General features: G+C 53.8%; 1 protein-coding gene across 10 annotated transcripts in view, besides 10 other annotated features; it reads right to left on the bottom strand.

Annotated features, from left to right (window-relative positions):
* Positions 1 to 18,086, bottom strand: part of PPFIA4 (PPFI scaffold protein A4) — a 52,246-nt gene that overhangs the window by 20,369 nt on the left and 13,791 nt on the right. For 3 of the 10 annotated variants that reach the window (NM_001304331.2, NM_001393952.1, NM_001304332.2), the window contains exons 3-19: positions 14,870 to 14,971; positions 14,273 to 14,437; positions 13,915 to 13,989; positions 13,583 to 13,672; positions 12,809 to 13,000; positions 12,381 to 12,527; positions 11,986 to 12,120; positions 10,058 to 10,141; positions 9,654 to 9,785; positions 9,388 to 9,450; positions 8,601 to 8,692; positions 6,491 to 6,599; positions 4,407 to 4,615; positions 2,696 to 2,936; positions 2,213 to 2,248; positions 1,860 to 1,993; positions 1,418 to 1,584 (exon numbers count right to left, since the gene is read on the bottom strand). In NM_001304331.2, coding sequence (NP_001291260.1) covers positions 1,418 to 1,584; positions 1,860 to 1,993; positions 2,213 to 2,248; positions 2,696 to 2,936; positions 4,407 to 4,615; positions 6,491 to 6,599; positions 8,601 to 8,692; positions 9,388 to 9,450; positions 9,654 to 9,785; positions 10,058 to 10,141; positions 11,986 to 12,120; positions 12,381 to 12,527; positions 12,809 to 13,000; positions 13,583 to 13,672; positions 13,915 to 13,989; positions 14,273 to 14,437; positions 14,870 to 14,971 — 2,173 coding nt within the window. The remainder of the gene's footprint in view (positions 1 to 1,417; positions 1,585 to 1,859; positions 1,994 to 2,212; positions 2,249 to 2,695; positions 2,937 to 4,406; positions 4,616 to 6,490; positions 6,600 to 8,600; positions 8,693 to 9,387; positions 9,451 to 9,653; positions 9,786 to 10,057; positions 10,142 to 11,985; positions 12,121 to 12,380; positions 12,528 to 12,808; positions 13,001 to 13,582; positions 13,673 to 13,914; positions 13,990 to 14,272; positions 14,438 to 14,869; positions 14,972 to 18,086) is intronic. The other 7 variants (NM_001393953.1, NM_001393954.1, NM_001393955.1 and 4 more) reach the window with 5 other exon arrangements.
* Positions 2,316 to 3,067: an enhancer, noted in NCBI's record as "H3K4me1 hESC enhancer chr1:203024429-203025180 (GRCh37/hg19 assembly coordinates)". NCBI's record gives its function as "activates a minimal SCP1, AML or CMV promoter by ChIP-STARR-seq in primed H9 embryonic stem cells {active_cell/tissue: H9 hESC(primed)}" and the evidence as "EXISTENCE:reporter gene assay evidence [ECO:0000049][PMID:30033119]".
* Positions 3,068 to 3,819: an enhancer, noted in NCBI's record as "OCT4-NANOG-H3K4me1 hESC enhancer chr1:203023677-203024428 (GRCh37/hg19 assembly coordinates)". NCBI's record gives its function as "activates a minimal SCP1, AML or CMV promoter by ChIP-STARR-seq in primed H9 embryonic stem cells {active_cell/tissue: H9 hESC(primed)}" and the evidence as "EXISTENCE:reporter gene assay evidence [ECO:0000049][PMID:30033119]".
* Positions 6,320 to 6,861: an enhancer, noted in NCBI's record as "H3K27ac-H3K4me1 hESC enhancer chr1:203020635-203021176 (GRCh37/hg19 assembly coordinates)". NCBI's record gives its function as "activates a minimal SCP1, AML or CMV promoter by ChIP-STARR-seq in naive H9 embryonic stem cells {active_cell/tissue: H9 hESC(naive)}" and the evidence as "EXISTENCE:reporter gene assay evidence [ECO:0000049][PMID:30033119]".
* Positions 9,508 to 10,405: an enhancer, noted in NCBI's record as "H3K27ac-H3K4me1 hESC enhancer chr1:203017091-203017988 (GRCh37/hg19 assembly coordinates)". NCBI's record gives its function as "activates a minimal SCP1, AML or CMV promoter by ChIP-STARR-seq in primed H9 embryonic stem cells {active_cell/tissue: H9 hESC(primed)}" and the evidence as "EXISTENCE:reporter gene assay evidence [ECO:0000049][PMID:30033119]".
* Positions 11,922 to 12,124: a silencer, noted in NCBI's record as "fragment chr1:203015372-203015574 (GRCh37/hg19 assembly coordinates)". NCBI's record gives its function as "represses an EF-1alpha promoter that drives an FKBP-Casp9 reporter gene in an ReSE screen in K562 erythroleukemia cells {active_cell/tissue: K562}" and the evidence as "EXISTENCE:reporter gene assay evidence [ECO:0000049][PMID:32094911]".
* Positions 12,277 to 12,914: an enhancer, noted in NCBI's record as "H3K4me1 hESC enhancer chr1:203014582-203015219 (GRCh37/hg19 assembly coordinates)". NCBI's record gives its function as "activates a minimal SCP1, AML or CMV promoter by ChIP-STARR-seq in naive H9 embryonic stem cells {active_cell/tissue: H9 hESC(naive)}" and the evidence as "EXISTENCE:reporter gene assay evidence [ECO:0000049][PMID:30033119]".
* Positions 12,915 to 13,553: an enhancer, noted in NCBI's record as "H3K4me1 hESC enhancer chr1:203013943-203014581 (GRCh37/hg19 assembly coordinates)". NCBI's record gives its function as "activates a minimal SCP1, AML or CMV promoter by ChIP-STARR-seq in primed H9 embryonic stem cells {active_cell/tissue: H9 hESC(primed)}" and the evidence as "EXISTENCE:reporter gene assay evidence [ECO:0000049][PMID:30033119]".
* Positions 13,533 to 13,827: a silencer, noted in NCBI's record as "tiled region #9252; K562 Repressive non-DNase unmatched - State 20:ReprD". NCBI's record gives its function as "represses a minimal TATA promoter and a strong SV40 promoter by Sharpr-MPRA in K562 cells {active_cell/tissue: K562}" and the evidence as "EXISTENCE:reporter gene assay evidence [ECO:0000049][PMID:27701403]".
* Positions 16,272 to 16,771: an enhancer, noted in NCBI's record as "H3K4me1 hESC enhancer chr1:203010725-203011224 (GRCh37/hg19 assembly coordinates)". NCBI's record gives its function as "activates a minimal SCP1, AML or CMV promoter by ChIP-STARR-seq in naive H9 embryonic stem cells {active_cell/tissue: H9 hESC(naive)}" and the evidence as "EXISTENCE:reporter gene assay evidence [ECO:0000049][PMID:30033119]".
* Positions 16,772 to 17,273: an enhancer, noted in NCBI's record as "H3K4me1 hESC enhancer chr1:203010223-203010724 (GRCh37/hg19 assembly coordinates)". NCBI's record gives its function as "activates a minimal SCP1, AML or CMV promoter by ChIP-STARR-seq in naive H9 embryonic stem cells {active_cell/tissue: H9 hESC(naive)}" and the evidence as "EXISTENCE:reporter gene assay evidence [ECO:0000049][PMID:30033119]".

The following is an 18,086-nucleotide window of genomic DNA, read 5'->3' as shown; positions in this document are numbered from 1 at the left end:
GGGCTGACACTCCCATATTCTGAGCAGAGGTGGCCATGTTCCTCCTCCCCGTTCCCAGACCACCCCTTTCCTTCACACACAGACCTCTCCCTGTCTCAGCAAATTCCTCTTTCTCCTTCCTCTTTCCCCAACCTCCTCCTCGCGTGCTCTCCCTCCTCCTCCTCCTCAGCCAGCTAGCTGTCTTCTGATTCACATCTTCCTGAGCTGCAGAAAGGTCTAATTATGCATTTGGGTCCAAAGGTTCCTTTATTCTAGTTGATGAGTTCCTCCCCTGCACGAAATTCATCAATGCTCCCACTGCCTCAGGGGAACTCTTAAACTAAAACAGATGCTGCAAGGCCCTCACAGCTGGCCCCAGCCTAGCTGTCCAGTCCCATCTCCCCACTCCGCCCACCCTCCTCCTTCTCAACTCAGAATATGCATAAGTACATACCAACCTCTCACACCCACAAACTTTTGCCTTTCCCAGACCAACCCCTTCCTCCACACACAGATGTCTCCCTGGCTCGGCTAATTCCTATGTGGCCCTCACACTTTAGCTCAGGTGTCGCTACCAAAGGAGGCCGCCCCTGTTGTCCCCACCATTCCATAGCCGAGTTCTGAGTCCCACAAGCACCCTGGGCACATCTCTATCAATAGGTTGTTCTGGAATTGTCTCTTCTTCCTTTTCATTAGACACTGAACTCCTTGAAGGAGTGAACTGTTGGTCAGCACCTGTTACTAAGACATACAGTAGTTACTCAATAAATGTTTGTGGAACAAATGGCTGAATAGATGACAGAAAGAAAAGGTGGAGGAACAGGAAGGAAAAGAGAAAAGAAGAAATAGAAGAGAGGGGGCAGATGAAAGCTAACATTTAACGTGTACTCACCACATGCCAAGCATGTACTAGACATTTATACTATCACAGAGGTGATAACGATGCCACGCTTGCCTAAGCTCTTCCTTGAATTTAATGTCTACAAAGCTATAATTAGGTGTTATCACATTTTGAGTCCCAGAGGCCAGATGTACCCAGAAATAAGTTCCAATCAAGAACTGACTCTTCTAAAGAAACAACCAAGAGATTTCTCCTGAAGGTCCCGAGCACAGTACCTCAGAAAATCTCCAAATTCAAAGAAACCCCAGACACCCAATCTTTCACTCAATACAGGAGACCTTTCCACAGCATGCCAAATAAAGCCATCCAGCCACTTCCTGACGCTTGCAGAGGCAGAAGCTTACCCCCTCACAAGGCAATCCACCCCGCCATGAATAGCTCTAACCAAAAACTGCTTCTGCAGATCTGAGGTAACCTGCCTGGGGCTTCCCCCAACTGGTCCCTGGGACGCAGGCAGAGAAGGCCAGTCCAAGTACACCTTCCTGCTTCTGATGCCCCAATGCCCGCCCAGACCTCCGTTAGGAAGGGGACAGAGACCATGGCCTGTGGCTCCATCCCGACTCAGCTGGATCAGCCTGCCCTTCTCCTTCTTCCCAAACAGGCGGCCAATGGACGACTTGATGCCCTTGCGCTTGGCGCCCTTGTGCAGGGAGTCCTGGCTGCTGTTGCTGCTGCTGGGGTTGCTGCCCTGATCCTCCAAGGCACTACAGGGTGACAGCCAGAAGGGGGCGGAATAAGAAGAAACATACTTAAGTGACAGCAGGAAAGATGGAAGTTAGACCTCAGGAAGAACTTCTATTAAGTCAGAACTGGGATGGGGGAAAAGGAGACACATGAACTCCCTTCCCTGATGGTGTTTCAAAGAGAAGTAAGACATTCAGAAACTGGGACAGGGGAGATGCGGTCCCTGCAGAGGCAGAGGAAGGGAGGAGAGGACCCTGTGGATGGAGAGACTGGAGGTGGGGTCTGCTCTACTTACCTCTTGCCTTCTTCCTGGCTCAGGGCTGGGTGGCCAAGCTTCTCTAGCCGCAGCGTCCTGGGTGAGGAAGGAGGAGAAGTCTCACATTTTATGGTGGCTTTATCCTCTCGGTTCTCTTCCCGAGACACTGGCGACTGAACAGACAGTGGAGCCGTCAGGGGATAGAGGGAGAGATCTCGGGCCTGCCTACCCAGCCCAGAAGAGGTGGCGGAGCATGGAGAAATGCAGTGGGGAGGCCCTGGGTGCCTCTCTGAGTTCAGACTCAGACTCAAGGGCCCTGGGGGAGGAAGCTGAAAGGAAAGGGCATGGGAGCAGTGAACCCGTTAGTACCTGGGCCATCAGGCAGCACTCACCAGCAGCTTCCTCCTATGCTTTCTTAAGTCACTGGGCTGCAAGAGAGAGGGATGGGTAAGCTCAGACTCACCCTCTGGGTGCCCTAGAGCCAACCCCAGGGGAGCCCAGTGGTCTTAGGATGAGAAGATAGGATTCAGTGCCTCACACAGGCCCGGAGAGAATATCACGCCAGAAAAAAAAAAAAAAGCTGGCCTAGAAAAACAAGCCAGGGCTTATTTCTCTGGAAGAAAGGAAGAGGTGAGGGCAGTGGGTGAGTTTCTTAAGCAGTCTGGGCTCATCCAAGGGAGAGGGCAAAGAAGATATGACCTAGGCCCTTCCCAAACCCAGAAGGACAGGCTGGTGGCCTGACATGTCGGGGTCTGCACACACCATGGGAAGAAGATGGCAGGCCCAGCTGAGAGCACGTGAGTCCTACCATCCCTTAAAACCTCCCCCGGTGCAGGGTCCAGTGATGCCAGGCCTGCTCCTCAGCTGCCTCTCACCAGGGTCATGACCCCCATTCGGTCCAGGTCCTGGGCAGCACTGCGGGAGGTGAGCTTAGGTGTGGAGCGGCCGCTGAGTGGTGGGGACGCGCTGGCCAGGGACAGGGCCGTCAGAGAGGTGGGGATGGAACCACGCTTGCGCAGCTGCTTCAGGTTTAGGGCTTCCATGCTGCCACTGGTTACACGCGTCTCAATCTCCTCCGCGCGGAGCTCCGTGGACTCCTTCTCTTCCTGAATCATCCTGGAAGGGAGGCAAAACCAGACCTCACCACTAGCCCCAGCCAGGACCAGCAGGAGGCAGTGCGGGTCGATGCCTGCACTCGCCACCAAGGACCACATGCGGTGTACACCCGCCAGGCTTTGTCTGTCCCACTGGAGCTTAGAAACACATCTCTTTCTTGTTAGCTTGCCTACTCCCTCCGTTTAACAAAAGCAGCTGCTGGGGAAGGAGGCACTTTCGTCAGTGGAACATAAACCATCCTGAAAATCAGAATTCTTGACATACCCCTAACTATAGGGTGGCCTTGAGTCAGGTATTTTGCTGTCTGTGCCTCAGTTTCCCAACATATGCTATGTCTGAAGTGGTATAAGTCAGCAGTTTCCAAGTGTAGGACTTTTAAATGATGCTGACCCCTGGTGGGGTTTTCCCTGTTCCACAGAAAAATGAGAGAAATAATAAAAATGGTACACGTGTGTGCCTGGGAGGCACTCAGCAAGGAGTGCATGCACACGCACACACACACACTCTCTCACACACACATGCTCCAGTAAAGATGCCCACTCCCTTTCACAAAGAAGGACTCGCCTTTATTCTGAGTATGTCTTTCTTACTTCAGGAATGTTAAAATGTCCTTTCTTTTGCAAAATGATTGCGATAATAGATAGTCATTATCATTAATGTTTTACTTTGCAAAATAAAAAGCTGGTGGTCCTACGTTTGTACCTTTCTCTCTCTCTCTCTGTGTGTGTATGTGTGTGTGTGTGTGTGTGTGTGTGTGTGTCTTCTTTGTAACTGGTCTGTGCAATACATTGAACCATTGAACTGGATGTCCTGTACAGCTTATAAAGCTCTGATACACTCCAGCTCAGATATTGCCCTGCTGTTTGTCATTAACATTAATAAACTCATTAAAAAGGCAGGACAAAGTGAAGGTTTTCACAACGTTCCCTGTCACTGTTTCTGTTTGATGCCTTATTAGGGACAGGAGGCATGGTGCAGTGGGCCAAGTTCAGACTTGAGTTTGAATCCTGGCTCTGTCACTTCTGTGTGGCTTTGGGCAAGTCACTTAACCTCTCTGAGTTTCTGTTCCCTTGTCTGTAAAACAGGGATCATGCTGCCTACCTCAGGCACTGTGGTAAGATGGACAGTGACATTTACAAAGCTCTCACCCTGAGCTAGCCTCAGTAAGCAGGAGCTACACTCTTAGTGGTTAAGATCAGCTGCAGGGCTGCAGGAACACAGCATGCATCCTCCTGAGCCCAGCCACATCGCAAGCCCTGAGAGGGGAGGTGAAGCCTGAGAAGTCCACTGAGGCCCTGCTCCTCTCACTCCGGCACTGGCAGCGGGCCTGATGACCCACAGAGGGTCCCTGAACTGTGGTACTCTAAGTTGCAGCTATAAGAGTTGGGCAAACCCATATAGGGTTTTTCCAACACAAAGGGCCCCCCTGCCCTTCAATGCACTTCCCAAGCCCTCCAGCCCTGCCCTAACCTGATTTCCTCATTGATGGCATCCAGCTGCTCCTGCAGCATCATGGCCAGGGTCTGGGCATCTGAGTGGCCGCTGGGGGAGACAACATCCGCAGAGCCCACCAGACCCCCTGGCTCATCCTCATCCACGTCGGAGATCTCAGGGTCACTGTCAAAGGCAGGGCCAGCTGCCGGGGCCAGCATCCCAGGCAGTGGAGAAGTCTCCCAGTCCTTAGCAAAGGAGGAGGGTAAAGGAGTCGTAATAAGACACCCAGATAACTGCAGAGCAGGACCCTCCCTACCTCTACCCACCAGCACTGGCATCTCCTGGGAGCTTGCTGGAAATGCAGAATCTCAGGCCGCACCACCAGACCTACTGATTCAACATCTGCATTTTAACAAGACCCCTGGGTGGTTTTTTGGTTTTTGGTTTTTGGTTTGTTTGTTTTTTGAGATGGAGTCTCCCTCTGTCACCCAGGCTGGAGGGCAGTGGCGTGATCTCGGCTCACTGCAACCTCCGCCTCCCAGGTTCAAGCAATTCTCCTGCCTCAGACTCCCGAGTAGCTAGGATTACAAGCGCACGCCACCACGCCCGGCTGATTTTTTGTATTTTAGTAGAGACGGGGTTTCACCATGTTGCCCAGGCTGGTAGTGAACTTCTGAGCTCAAGCAATCCACCCACCTCAGCCTCCCAAAGTGCTGGGATTACAAGCGTGAGCCACCGTGCCCGGCTGACCCCTGGGTGATTTGTTTGCACATTACAGTCTAAGAAATACTGCTCTAACTGTTAAGAAGAGAATCCAGAGAGAGACGGCTTTGGTTTGAATCTCATCTCCACCAAACACTAGTTGTGCAACCATAGGAACATTTTTTAACCTCTCTGTGCCTCAGTTTCTTCATCTGTAAAATAGGGATGGTAAAGTACTTACCTCATAGATAGCTGTGAGGATCAAATGAGGAAAATACATGTAAAGCCCTTAGCACTGTGCCTGGCACAAAGCAAGCACTACATAAATGCTATCAGTTTCCATCCATACAAACTCAAAGGCTGACTACACCCAGAGAACAGAAAGGCCAAGCAGGCCTGAATAGACAGTCTGCAGAGTTTCAGATCATCACAGGACAGTCTGGTCAACCCTGAGAGGCGGCAGCTTCTCTGAAATCATCCTACAAACCTATCCAGCGGACAAAGGCCCAGAAGAGGGGAGGGTGGAGAACAGAAGAGTAGAGAAGGAAGGAAGGGAGCCAGGGACAGAAAGGTACTCTAACACCCATCCTCTATGACCCAAGCCCCCTAGCTCCCCTTCAGGCTCCTGCAGCCTCTCAGCTCCTGGATAGCTGCTATATTCTTATAAACAGAAAGAGCAAAGAAGTCGGGGGAGAAAGAAAAAGAGGCACCTTCAGACTGTGACTCCCCCATCGGACTGAGGATTTCTTAAGGGCAGAGTGAATCTTCCCCTGAGACTAGGAGTTCCCTCTTTCTCCATCTATATCTTCTAATACCCCAGTGCTCTAAATGATATTTAGAGGACCTGGATTCAGGACAGAGCATGACGAATAATTGCACTTTCCCAAAAGATCAAACTCGGCATTTTTCTGCCCCATATCTTTCCTCATTCTCCCCTAATCTCCCTAGGCAGACTCAGACAGCATGAACTCACAGCTGCTTCTCGGAAAACTCCAGGTGCCATCCCAAGGGCCAGTTAACCTGTCATCCCTCCCTCGTCTCCGCCATGAACCACAGCTTTTGTTCCAGAAAGTCTGCCAATTCCATCTTACCCGTGAAGCTCCCCCACCCCCCACGCCCGACCACCAGATACACACGCCTGCACGCCCAGGCACACGCACACACACTTCAGTGGGGCCTCAGGGACTGTTGGCTGCCTGCCAGCCCCCACCTCTTGCCCACCAGGAGGCCAAGGCAAGCGGGGGGGGGGGCACAGCTGTTGCAGCTGACGATGGCCTCAACCCCAGGGCTGCAGCTGTCATTGACACGGGAGGGAAGGGGAAGGATTTGCCCCACACACCAGCCGTCTGCGTAACTGGAGCCAGGCACGCGGCCGAATTGACCCCAAACTCCCTGAGGAGATCCCTCCACCCCCTCACCTTGGCAGACTCTTCCCTCAATGCCGAGTAGCGGCGATGCACGCCTGGGGGTGCGTGTGTGGTTGTGCCCAGGGAGAACCGCACGTCTGCTGCACTGCCCATGTGCGACCTTGAGCGGTGATGGGGGAGAGAAAAGACAGGCCCTGAGGACTGAGACCCCCAGCTCACACCCAGTGGGCCCAAAGAGTCAAGGGATCTTCAGCTCAGAGAAGAGACATCTTAGCAGGACACAGAGCTGTCACAAATGTCTGAAGGGCTGCCGTGTAAGCAAGAGAGCAGACGTATGCCCTGGTGCTCCAGGGGTCAGAATGAGCCAGGGGAGAAAGTTCCAGAGAGCGGTTTTCCGTCTGGCATAAGAAGGATCTTCTAATGGCAAGAGTTGGCTTACGATGCAACTGGTGGCTTTTAAAAAGTTGAGCTCCCCATCAAAGAGGTATTCGAGCAGAGGCTCTCCGGCCATCTGACACACGTGGCGCAGGAGGGCTCCAGGCACTGGGAGATGTTGGAAGGGATGATGTCTAGAGGCCCTTTTCACTCTGAGGGTCTTTGTTTTTTGGTCTTCTACCCAGCACTTTTCCTCGGGTCTCCCCATAATCTGGACTGAGTCCCTGGTTAAAATTCAAGCCAGGCATACCCCTATGCCTAGGAAGCTTTAGGAGGCCCTAACACTGTCAGAAACACAAGCCAGAGAAAATACTTTGCCCCAAGAGTCTATTCCAACCCTGAGATTTTAGGACCCAAGCAACAATCCCCTGGAATATCTGGAAGCCTCCCCTAGTGATACTTCCTCCCTGTGCCTTCCTACTTGGAACCCTTGAGGGAGTCCAGAGTGAAGGGACACAGTGAGCCTACAACAGACCATACGAGGTCACTGGAGGGAGAGGGAAGTTCCTGCATGTTCCCCTTTTCTCCCTGCAACTCAGCCCCAATTCCACGATGAATCCAATGATTCTATAGTCGAACCCAAGCATTCCCAACCATTAAGAAAAAAAAAAAAAGCCAAGCAGTGGCAAATGGCTTGGTGTACTGTGGGCCGTATTTTACTAATTGAGGGGTTGTCTCTTCTGGTCAGGATGGGAGAAGTAGGAGAAATGCCAACTACTGTTGCCTGTCTCCATCCTCTGCTTCCCTTCATACCCATATACAATAATTCCTGGCGAGCGTGGAGATGGCACTTAAGTCTCTACCACCCCAGACACCCGTGGGCTTCTCTTCTTCAAGCTCAACATCCCCTTCCCTATTTCAACCACTGCCCCTCCACACATATCTATATGGATATTTCCATTAACCTTTCTTCATGGTAGTTCATCTCCATTTCCCTGATACAGCAAGCACATGACCAAAGGGAACGGCAAGGGTTCTGATCTAAGAGACTTTGGTTTGGAGAGAAAACAGCCAAGAGCCATGAACCTTGAGTGGCACCATCCATTTCAGTCTCCCCTGTCTTCACCCCACCTCTCTGGCCTGGGTACTGAGGACAGGCTCGAGGTCTGAATTCAATACCCATCGCTCCACAAAATGTGGGGGAAATCCCGAGGTTCCCTAAACATGGGCCTAATTCAAGCATTAGGAGATAAGCTCCATCTCTCACAATGGTTTCAAGAAAAGGGATGCCAAGTCCATAGGATTGCCATGGCGTCTCAACTTCCAGTAAGGAAGTTTCTGATGCTTCATTCCAATCTCTCCTGCTGCCTTTCTGCCCGCTGCCTGAACTCAGGTGGTCCTTGACTCTCAAGAGAACTGGAGTGAATGGCTCTCCCTACCAGTGGGCCCTGTAGGACATGGCTAAGCAAGGGATGTGCAGGCCTCTCTCAGGGGTGTGCCCTCTGTCAAGGAAGCAGAAATCATGGCCTATGTCCTACCACAGCGGGGACAGAGCACTGGCTGTCTGATGACTCGCCTCTCAGCAGCCCTCGGAGGACAGGTGTTCCCTCCCAAACTGCCCAAGTAAGCTGGGTGACTCTGACCAAGTTATCTGAGCCTCAGTGTCCCACCCTGAACAGGAGGAGGACCCTGAGGTCCTGGGCAGTCTTTTGTTGGAAGGAAGTCTCCTTCCTCACGGTCCATCAGGACCCCGTCCTGGCATGCCCAGCCTCTGGCGCTGCAGTACCTGGAGTGGACGCCATCCACAAACGGCCCCCCTCGGCCCTTCAGCTGGTCCACCTCTTGGCGCAGCTTCTCAATCTCTTCAGACAGGCGGCCCTGTGCCAGCAGACCCGGGGTGGGGGCGGGAGTGGGGGCCAGGGAGGGGCAGAGAGGGAGGGTGGGAGTCAGAGAGGGACAAAGAGGACAGCAGAGTTGGGGAGAAGCTGAAGAATGTACTGCAAAGTCCAAAGCCAGGGGCCCCAGGCCAGGCCCACAGATGACACCAAAAGAGAAGAGGTCCAACCAGAGAGTGAGTGGAAGGATGGGCAGGGGCAGGGCCAGGAGGGGGTCTGTCTGGGGAGGGCTCTGCTAGCCTAGGCCTGCCGACCCCTCACTACTGCACAGATGCACAGCAGATGAGGCTGGGCAGCAGAGGGCCCCAGCACCCCCTCAGACCTCACAGACATTGCCGAGGCCAGGACGGAGGCAAATCCTCCCAGAATCACCAGGCTCTGGCTGCACCAGGGTTTGAAGCTCCCTCCAAATCCTGGGGTGGAGCCCCTCACTGGGCCCTGCCTCTCTGCTGTCCACCTCTGCCCTATGCTTCTGGCCTCAGTTTCTTCTTTCCCTGTGGGCAGTAATGCACCTACCATGATGGGCTCTAGTGAGAAATCACGGAATAATGTATGTAGTGCACTAACATATGCACTAACACTGCCAGGTATCAGAGCAGCAGCGTTAAAAGCAGGGTGTCCTTTCCTCCCTGCAACCCGGCCCTCCCAGGCTGGGCGGGGCTGGCCGCAGCCGGGTACCTTGTGGTGGTGCTGCTCCTCAATCTGCCGCTGGGAGCTCTCCAACTCCTGGATCAACGTGTTCTGGGGGAGAGCAGCTGTGAGCCAGGCCCCTGCCTTCCTCTCCCATTCCAGACCTGAGCCTCTGGGTGTGCAGTCTCAGCCCCACCTCTCCAGGCTGGCCACCCACCCCATTGAGACCCCGCCTGCGCCCATCACAGTCCCGCCTCCCCCCGCCCCACACCCAGCACTAACCTCTCGCATCCCAACCCCGCCCCTCTGGGCACCTTCTCCTCCAGGGCAGCCATGCGCTCCTTCAGGTGGAGCTGCAGACGCTCGTTGGACTCGCTGAGCAGCCGGTCCACTGTGTCCGACAGCCGCTTGTTGTGGTCCTCATTCATCTTTTCCCGCTGGCGCACCTGCACAGCCGTCTGCCTCGCACCAGGCCGCCCTCCCAGGGAGGACCACCCTCTCCTGCTGGGGTTTGACTCCCTCCCCTGTCCTCTTCTCATCCTCTGGGAGCCACTCTCTCCAGTCTCCTGACCACCTCCCCCTTCACCTGCCAGCCTCCTCCCACTCTCTGTGGCTGTGTCCCTGGCCAGGCCCTTCCTCCGTGCCCCTTCCACAGACCGCCCTGGGAGCCTGTCCTGCGGGAAGGAGGGGGCCTGAGGGCCCGGCCTGGTGCCCTCACCCGTGCCAGCTCCTGGTTCTTCTCCTCCAGCTGTCCCTCCAGCTGCCGCAGGTGCTCCTCAATGTTGCCATGCCGTTCTTCAGCCTAGGGGCAGGGATGGGTCGGTGCAGCCCGCAGATCTCTGTTCTTCCTGCTCAGGCCCCGCATCCCCTGCACCCTGGTGCCAGGGTGGCCCTGGGGATCATGGCCCCCAGTACCAGTGACGCTCAGCCTCCACTTATCATCTTGGAGCAGGACCACCATCCCCATTGCCTTTCTTCCCAGGTACTTCAATACCTGCCAGGTCTCCCCTGCCTCCTCCTCGCTCAGGCCTAGCCTTAAAACATCCTGAAGCTAGCAGTTCAAGAGACTGTAAATAATCCCCATGCTTCCAGAAAAAGCTCCACTTGAAAGCATGAGCTACCATAAACCTCTACGCCTCCAGATGGATAGAACCACACTGAAGAGCATGGGCTCATGCCACACCGCCTGGGTTCAAATCCTGGCTCCCTCTTACCACCTGTGTGACCTTAGACAAGTTACCAAACCTCTATGTGCCTTCGTTTCCACAACTGTAAAATGTGGGTAATAATAGCACCCAGGCCCACTGGACCATCACAAAGACTAAATGAAATAATCCAAGGCGAACACTGAGAACATAGTAAGCACTCAACAAATGTTAGCCCCGCATGGTTACGGCTCTGCTGTTAAACCAGCCCAGGTGGGGTAGTCTCCCTTTCCAGTCATGGATGTCCAGAGATGGAGACCCTACTGTCTCTGCTGGCAAGATATTCTAGAAAGCCACATCTCTTATAGTCAGGAAATCCTTCCTTAAACTCCTCCTGCGATGACTCACTTGACTGTATTAATCATTTCAGCCCGTGCCTTCATGTCAGCTTTGGGAGACACTAAGGCTGACTGCTCAGCAGCCCACACATAACATCCTCTGCTGTGATTTCAACCCAATCCTTCATTCCTCGAGGCTGGAAAGACCTCCGAGACCATCCCGTCTAACTCCAACATAGTGATAAGGACACTGAGGCCCAGTTAAGGGAGGGGATGACTTTTCCCAGGTCGCAGAGACAGTCAGTGGCAGAAGCAGTCTTGGTCCTGGGTCTGCTGGGACACAGCCAGGCTGCAGGTTCCGTCCTCGAAGCAGCTGAGCTGCACACTGGCCGGCCAGCCTCTCCCTTCCGAGCACTGTGCCTGGTGCTTCCTAAACACCGGTTTTCTTCTCGCCACGGGTTCGAAGATCCCATATGAGGCTGACCAGCTGAAAACGCTCCTAAATTATTTTGATTAACCCCTGCATGTCTAAATCCAGGCATTTACCTGGCTCTTCCAGAACCTATTATGTTTTCAGCCAGCACACCTCTCAGGAATTACTACTTCATAAAGTATCCATTAAATAAAATTGTATTCTTTTTTCTTCATCCTAAAACTGCAGCCTTCAAACAACCAGGAGCAGTCCCTAGATCTAGAAGCTTCAATTTGGCAATCAAAGATGTACTCAACCTAACTCTCACCCCTTTGCCCTTCAGGGATATATATACCATTTCTCTTCTAAGGTTTCACCTTTCCAGAGATGAAAGTCCTAATCTTTCTGCTCCAGCCCCAAGTGAAAGAAAGTGTTCACCACGACGGTGTAGAGGATTAAAAAAAAAAAAAAAGAAAAAGAAAAACACTTTGCATCAACATAGCTTCTTCTCCTTCAAGTACTTTTACACCCCTTCTTATGAGACTGTCACATCCCTGCAGGGTGATGAGGACAGGGATTACTCTTCCAACTGACAGGCACAAGGCAGTGTGCTCCCTGGAATCACACGGCGGGAAGCAGTTTTCTGGCTCCTGGCCCAGTGCGCCTCCCACGCGCTCCCTTCCCTGCCTGGCTCCCTGAGAGCTCAGAACATGGGGGACAGAGGCAGATCCCAGGCCCCTGGCCCACTTGCCTTGGTGAGGGCTGCAATTCTCTGGGCCAGCTCAGCCTCCACCTCTGGCAGCGTCTCTGCCTTGCGCATCGTCTGCTGCAGCTTCTGCTCTGCCACCTCCAGCAGCTCCTGCAGGTGTCGGGCCTTCTCCTCACACTAGCAATGTGGGGGTGGTGAAGTGATTCAAAAGGGAGCACTGAAGCCCCCACCCCCACCCCAGCCTCAGCAGAGAGCAGATGACAGGTCAGAAGCAGCAAGGGACAATCTTGGTTGTTGGCTGCCCGAGACGCCTGACTTCCCCTTTCAAAGGGTGACCTGCAGGACCCCAGGGGCTCCTCAGCCATCACCAGTAGGTTCACGAGGACACCTCCAGGGCTAAGTACAATGCCCATCCCCACCCCACCCTGAGGAGGTACCTGGCGGTGCAGGGACTCCTTGTTGGCCAGCTCATTCTCCAGCTTGTCATTGAGGTCATGGATGGATGTTGCCTCACGCTGAGCAGCCAGGTAGCGCTTCTCCAGTGTAGTAATCCGCTCTTCCATGTCCTCCTTCTGGGCCAGAGCCTGGGAGAAGAGGGGACAAGAAGGACGGTAACCAGCCTTTCCTTGCCCCCATCCTGTCTACACCTCCCCACCCACACCTGGCTGATTGGAACCCATTAAGGGGCATGAGCTACACTCTCCTGTCAGTTTCTGGCTTTGGCCCACCCCTTCCATGACCGCCCCCCAACAATGGAGCCAGGCAAGGAGGCAGGTGTTCAGTCTCACGCCCCAGAGCCTTTGCCTGGCTCTCCCTCCACACGCTCCACAATGAGGTCACAGAGCAGGCCTGCGCCCTCACGCACCTCCCGGAGGTCCCGCTGATGCTTGCTGCTCAGCTCCTCCGACTTGATGAGGTCCCGGCGGGCCGTGCCCAGGTCCTCCTCGAGTTCAGTCACGGTTGTTGTTAGGGTGACCAGTCGCTCCCGGGCCTGGCTCAACTCAAAGTTCTGCTTCTCCAGGAGCTCCTGCAGCTCCTCTACCCGGCCCGTATCCTCCTCCAGGGATAGGGACAGTAGCTCTGTGAGTCACAGCAGCATCCCACCCACCCCACTCCCCTATCCCAGGGGTGGAAGGAGGAACAGCACACCCAGAGCAGGTCAAGGCTCTGCCCCCAACATCACAGCACTCCTCTGGCTACAACTGCCTCCCTCTGGGCCCCAGGAGGTCACTCCTGACAATGACCAAACACCTTGCTATCCTTTGTCTCTCTTGAAAACAAGTTTCTAGTTTTATCTGCTATGCCAGCCTCTTGTAACCCAGAAAGGGGCGTGACTGGGGGAACAAAGGTTCAGACAGAGAAGGAATCTTGCCTGATGCTGCCACATGAGGCAGATGGTGCCTAACAATTCAAGCAGACAAGCGTATGATGTGCCCAGCATGTGTTGGGCACTAAAATAAAAATCTACAGATTTCATTGCAGATGGGGTAGGGAGAAGAAGAAAAGAGAAGGGGGAATATCAGAGAAAGCCTCAAATTTAATTCAAGCAGTTAGTCTACTGAACTAAGGCAGAGCCGGGCCTCCAACCTCCCACCTTGGGGAACACATGACCCCTGCTACACAGCTCTCCATGACCTACCTTCCACAGGCGTTTCGGCCCCAGCTCCACAGTCCCCTCCTCTTCTGCCGCTCCATCCCGCACCCCTGCCCCCTGCTGCAGGGCAGACACCTGTAGGGCACAAGCCCCAGGGCAATGAGTCAAAGAGAAGAGAACCTCCCATACATTCCAGACCCTTCCAAAGCCCCTGTCTTAGTTAAAAAATGTCTCCTAGAAAGAGGTGCTCAGCCTAGCCTTGCCTAGCAGCTTCCAGCCATGGCAGGGAGAAATCTGACAAGAAACAGAGTAGGGCACAGGGGTGAACCAGCCTGGACTTCCAGGAGCTGCAGACTGAGGGTGAGCAGGCAGATTACCTGCTGGTGGGCACCTGCCAGCTGCTCCTCCAAGGTGGTGACTCGCTCCAGCGCTGCCCGGAGCCGCTCTCGCACCTGCTCGAGGTAAGGGGAGATGGAGGAAGAAAGGGGGACCCCACTTGAGTCAGGCTGGAAGAGACTGGGCTTGGTCTACCACCACTGAGCATGAGGACAGTGAAGGGCCTACTAAGCAGCACATTTGCAGGAGGGAGCCTAACAGGAGGACCTTGAAGTTAAGACAATGTTTGGAGGGAGCCAGTGCTCCCTAAATACCGGATGTGGAAATCTCAGAGAAGGGATACATGGGAGGCTCCAGGGCAGCCTGGCTGGATGTGGGGGCTGGCGGGCAGGTGGGCACCTTCTCATCCAGGGCCTTGTGGTGCTCAAACAGTGACTTGAGGGCCTTCAGCACCTCCACCTCACTGGAGACCCCCGAAGGTGACTGGGCCTGGCGCTTCACCACAGTCATCCGCAGTGACCGTTCATGGCGGGACACCAGGCACTCCAGATGTTCCAGAAGCAGCTGGCAGGGAGAGCAGGGGAGGGTGAGAGGGAGGGCTGTAAGCATGTGCCCCAGGGGCTACAAGCAGGGTCCATGTGATCCCCGAGCAGACATGAGTTACAGCCACCCCACTGTGAAAACACTGAAATACTTCCAAATGGGCACAGAGCTCCCGCCCCAACTGATACTACTCAAGGTGACTGCCCCGGCCTCTCCCCAGGACCCTGAGCTTTCTGTGAACCAGCAACTACAGGTGGAGAGCCCAGCACTGGTGGTTAAACGATGTAACTCTCACCCCAGGATGGGAGACAGGAAGAGGGAAGGATGGGGCTTGAGCTAGGACTGTGCCTGGCCCCACTCTTGCCTGCTCTCTTGGTCAAGGTGTTCACAACACACCCCCATACACACACACACACACGTGCGCGCGCGCGACACAAGGTCATCCCCACTTACCCGTGTGTTATTCCGTTCTGCTTTCAGTTCTGATATCTCTTCCTCCCGCTCTAGAAGCTGCTCCCGACACATGCTCAGCTCCCGGGTTAAGGTGGCAAATTCCTGAAAACCCCCAAGGCCCCTCAGTGCTTCAGGATTCACCCCCAAAGCAGTGTCCTGCACATGCAAGTCAGTGGTGGGATCCTCTCACCCATCCCTTACTTCCACCACCTCCCCCACAAAATCCCAATCCATCCACACTGCAGGTCAGTAAACCTGTAGCTAGCATGTGCTTCTCCAGAGGGGTCCACATCTCTGGGTCCTCCATGCATTCCATGTGTTAGAATCCAAGGGAACAGAGTTGTACACAAGAGTGAGAAAGTCACTGAGTCTGCTCTGCAGACCCTTCCCCATCCAGCCACCAATATGACCAGATTACATCCTCCCTCCCACCTGGCATTTCCATTTCTCCAGGAATTCAATGACATTTTCCTTTAGAAACTGATGGAGGGGAATTCTGCTTCTGGTTTGGTGGATTAAGGTCCAAACAGAAACTGATGGATATGAAAGAGGGAAGAGAAGGCCCAGCACAGTGACTCACGCCTGTAATCCCAACACTTTGGGAGGCTGAGCCGGGCAGATCACCTGAGGTCAGGAGTTTGAGACCAGTCTGGCCAACATGGTGAAACCCTGTCTCGACTAAAAATACAAAAATTAGTCAGACGTGGTGGCGCACACCTGGGTAATTCCAGCTACTCCAGAGGCTGAGGCAGGAGAATCACTTGAACCCGGGAGGCGGAGGTTGCAGTGAGCTGAGGTGGCACCACTGCACTCCAGCCTGGGCGACAGGGTGAGCCTCCGTCTCGAAAAATAAAAATAAATAAATAAAAGAAACAGGGAAGAGAAAGAGCTTTTGAAGATAATGCCTGCATGAGTGCCCCAGGGAGCTCTTCCAGCCCCATCCCAAGGCTTTGCAAACTGCAAGTAGCGGGTGAAATAAGCAGATCAAAGGACCTACCTACATAGGAGCAAGAGAGTATGCAGACCTGCCCAGTCAGGCTTTCTAGGAGCCCTGCTCAACCAAGCAAGGGCTACATCCCAGCTCCTGATGCCAAGGCAGTTGCCCTGGCTTTACCAAATATCCATGTACCAAGTATCACTTCTAGAGGGGCCCATTTCCACACTGTCAGGCCCAGATAACTTCAGAGACCTTGCCAGCCCACCCTCCCCCATCAGGACAAGCATACAGGGGTGAGAGACTGCTCCCACATTCCAGGCTCATCATATCCTGTTTAGCTAAACATCACCTCCTTCCAGGGAGGTTTTCAAATGAGTGGCCCCAACTCTGTGGATGTCCAAGGTCTAAGAGCGATGCAACAGGCCTCATCCCTGTCCTAACCTGCAGCCTCCCTCACACACCAAGGATTCATGACCAAAGGAAGAACTCCCAATCCCCTCTCATCACTCCAGATAGGGCAAAAGGGGCTAGAAGGGTTGTGGGAGGGCAGAAGGGACAAGAGATGCCAGAGCATGAGAAACCATGAACCTCTGACATTATTACTCAATTACTGCCTTTCTGTCAGGGCCATGGCCAAAGGTGGTCAAGGTCAAGCATCTCATACTCCAGAAGCCCAGGCCTGATGCTGTCTCACCCCTCAGCTTATGCACAAACACAGTCACACTTTCACAGGCACACACAGTCATGTACACATGCTTGTAACCAGAGACAGGGCTTGACAGCCTGCCACCCAGCCCTACACCATGACACCACCACCAAAAGGCTGGTGCTGCCCCCTCTCCTGGCCTCAAGCTCAGCAGCTGTCTTATCTCCCCCCACCACAGGATACCTGTCCCCTCCCTTCCACCTCTAACCTATCTGACACCCTGCTGTCTACAAATCTCCCAAAGCACAATGCTGTCTACAAACACAGGAGACGGTCTCCTCTGTCACCCAGGCTGGAGTGCAGTGACTCAATTTCAACTCACTGCAGCCTGGACCTCCTGGGCTCAGGCGATCCTCCCACCTCAGCCCCACGAGTAGCTGGCAGCATAGGCATTTGCCACCATGCCCAGCTAATTTTGGGGATTTTTGTAGAGATGAGGTTTTGCCACATTGCCCAGGCTGATCTTGAACTTCTGACCTCAAGCAGTCCATCCACCTCAGCCTCCTGAAGTGCTGGGATTACAGGAGTGAGGCACTGCACCCAGCCTACAAATACAAACTTCTTATCCTGGTTTTCAAACTTCTCTCTCATGTCATTTCCATATCACCTAAGACCCAGTCAACCTGGATCACCTGCTGCTTCTAAACACCAGCATGCCTTCCTAATATCACATCTTGGCTCAGTGGACTCCCTCCCCCTGGAAAAACCTCTGTCACCACCCGATGAAATCATAATCATCCTTCAAAGCCCATCTCAAAGGATACAGCCTTGCTGGGAGCTGTCCAGACTCCCCACGGGGAGGCTCTCTCCCTCTCCTGAAAGCCATTTGGAGGAGTGGTCAAGAACACCAACTTGGGAGTCCATCATTCAACCACAAATATTTGTGAGCACCTATCATGTACCAGGTCCTGTGCAGATCACTGGGGATATAGTGACAAGAAAGACACAACCCCTGACCTCATGAAGCTTCAGTGTGGGAAGTCAAGTAGGCCTGGGATCAAATCTCAGCTCTGCCCCTGTTAGCTGTATGATCTTGAATAAGTTACCTAATCTCTCTGAGCCTCATTCTCTGATCTGTAAGACAGACGTAACAGTCCTCCCTCCAGGTGCTGGTATGAGAGTCAAATGAGCCAATGTATAGAAAGCACTTAGCCCAAGCCCATCAAAAGCAGCTATTTTTATCACTGATACTGTGCTTAATAACCCTTTTGGGCCTCTCTTATCTTCCTCTGCATTCTCTCCGGTCACATGGGTGGTGTATCTCCTTCCTAGTCTATGAGCTCCTTGGTGGCAGGAACTAGTTCATTCACTCTAGGGCAACTTCAGAGCCTCGTGCACAGTGAAAGAGGAGGTCCCCACCTGCCCACCCAACTGCTTCACCAGGGCTCTGTATTCTTGTCCACCAAGCATCACTTTTGTGTAGGAAACTCACCCACTCAGGCCCAGCCCTTGTTCTCTTCCCCACACACTGGGAAGGGCCTGGCGCTGAGGCTTGAGCTCTTCGGCTCCTCAGGGCTGCCTTCCCAACCCCAGCAGCGCCCCCACTGGGTCAGGGTAGGCTATGCCATGTGTCC

The sequence above is a fragment of the Homo sapiens genome, chromosome 1 (assembly GCF_000001405.40).
Source record: "Homo sapiens chromosome 1, GRCh38.p14 Primary Assembly".
Taxonomy (NCBI): Eukaryota; Metazoa; Chordata; class Mammalia; order Primates; family Hominidae; genus Homo; species Homo sapiens.
This window is presented reverse-complemented; position numbering and strand designations above follow the sequence as displayed.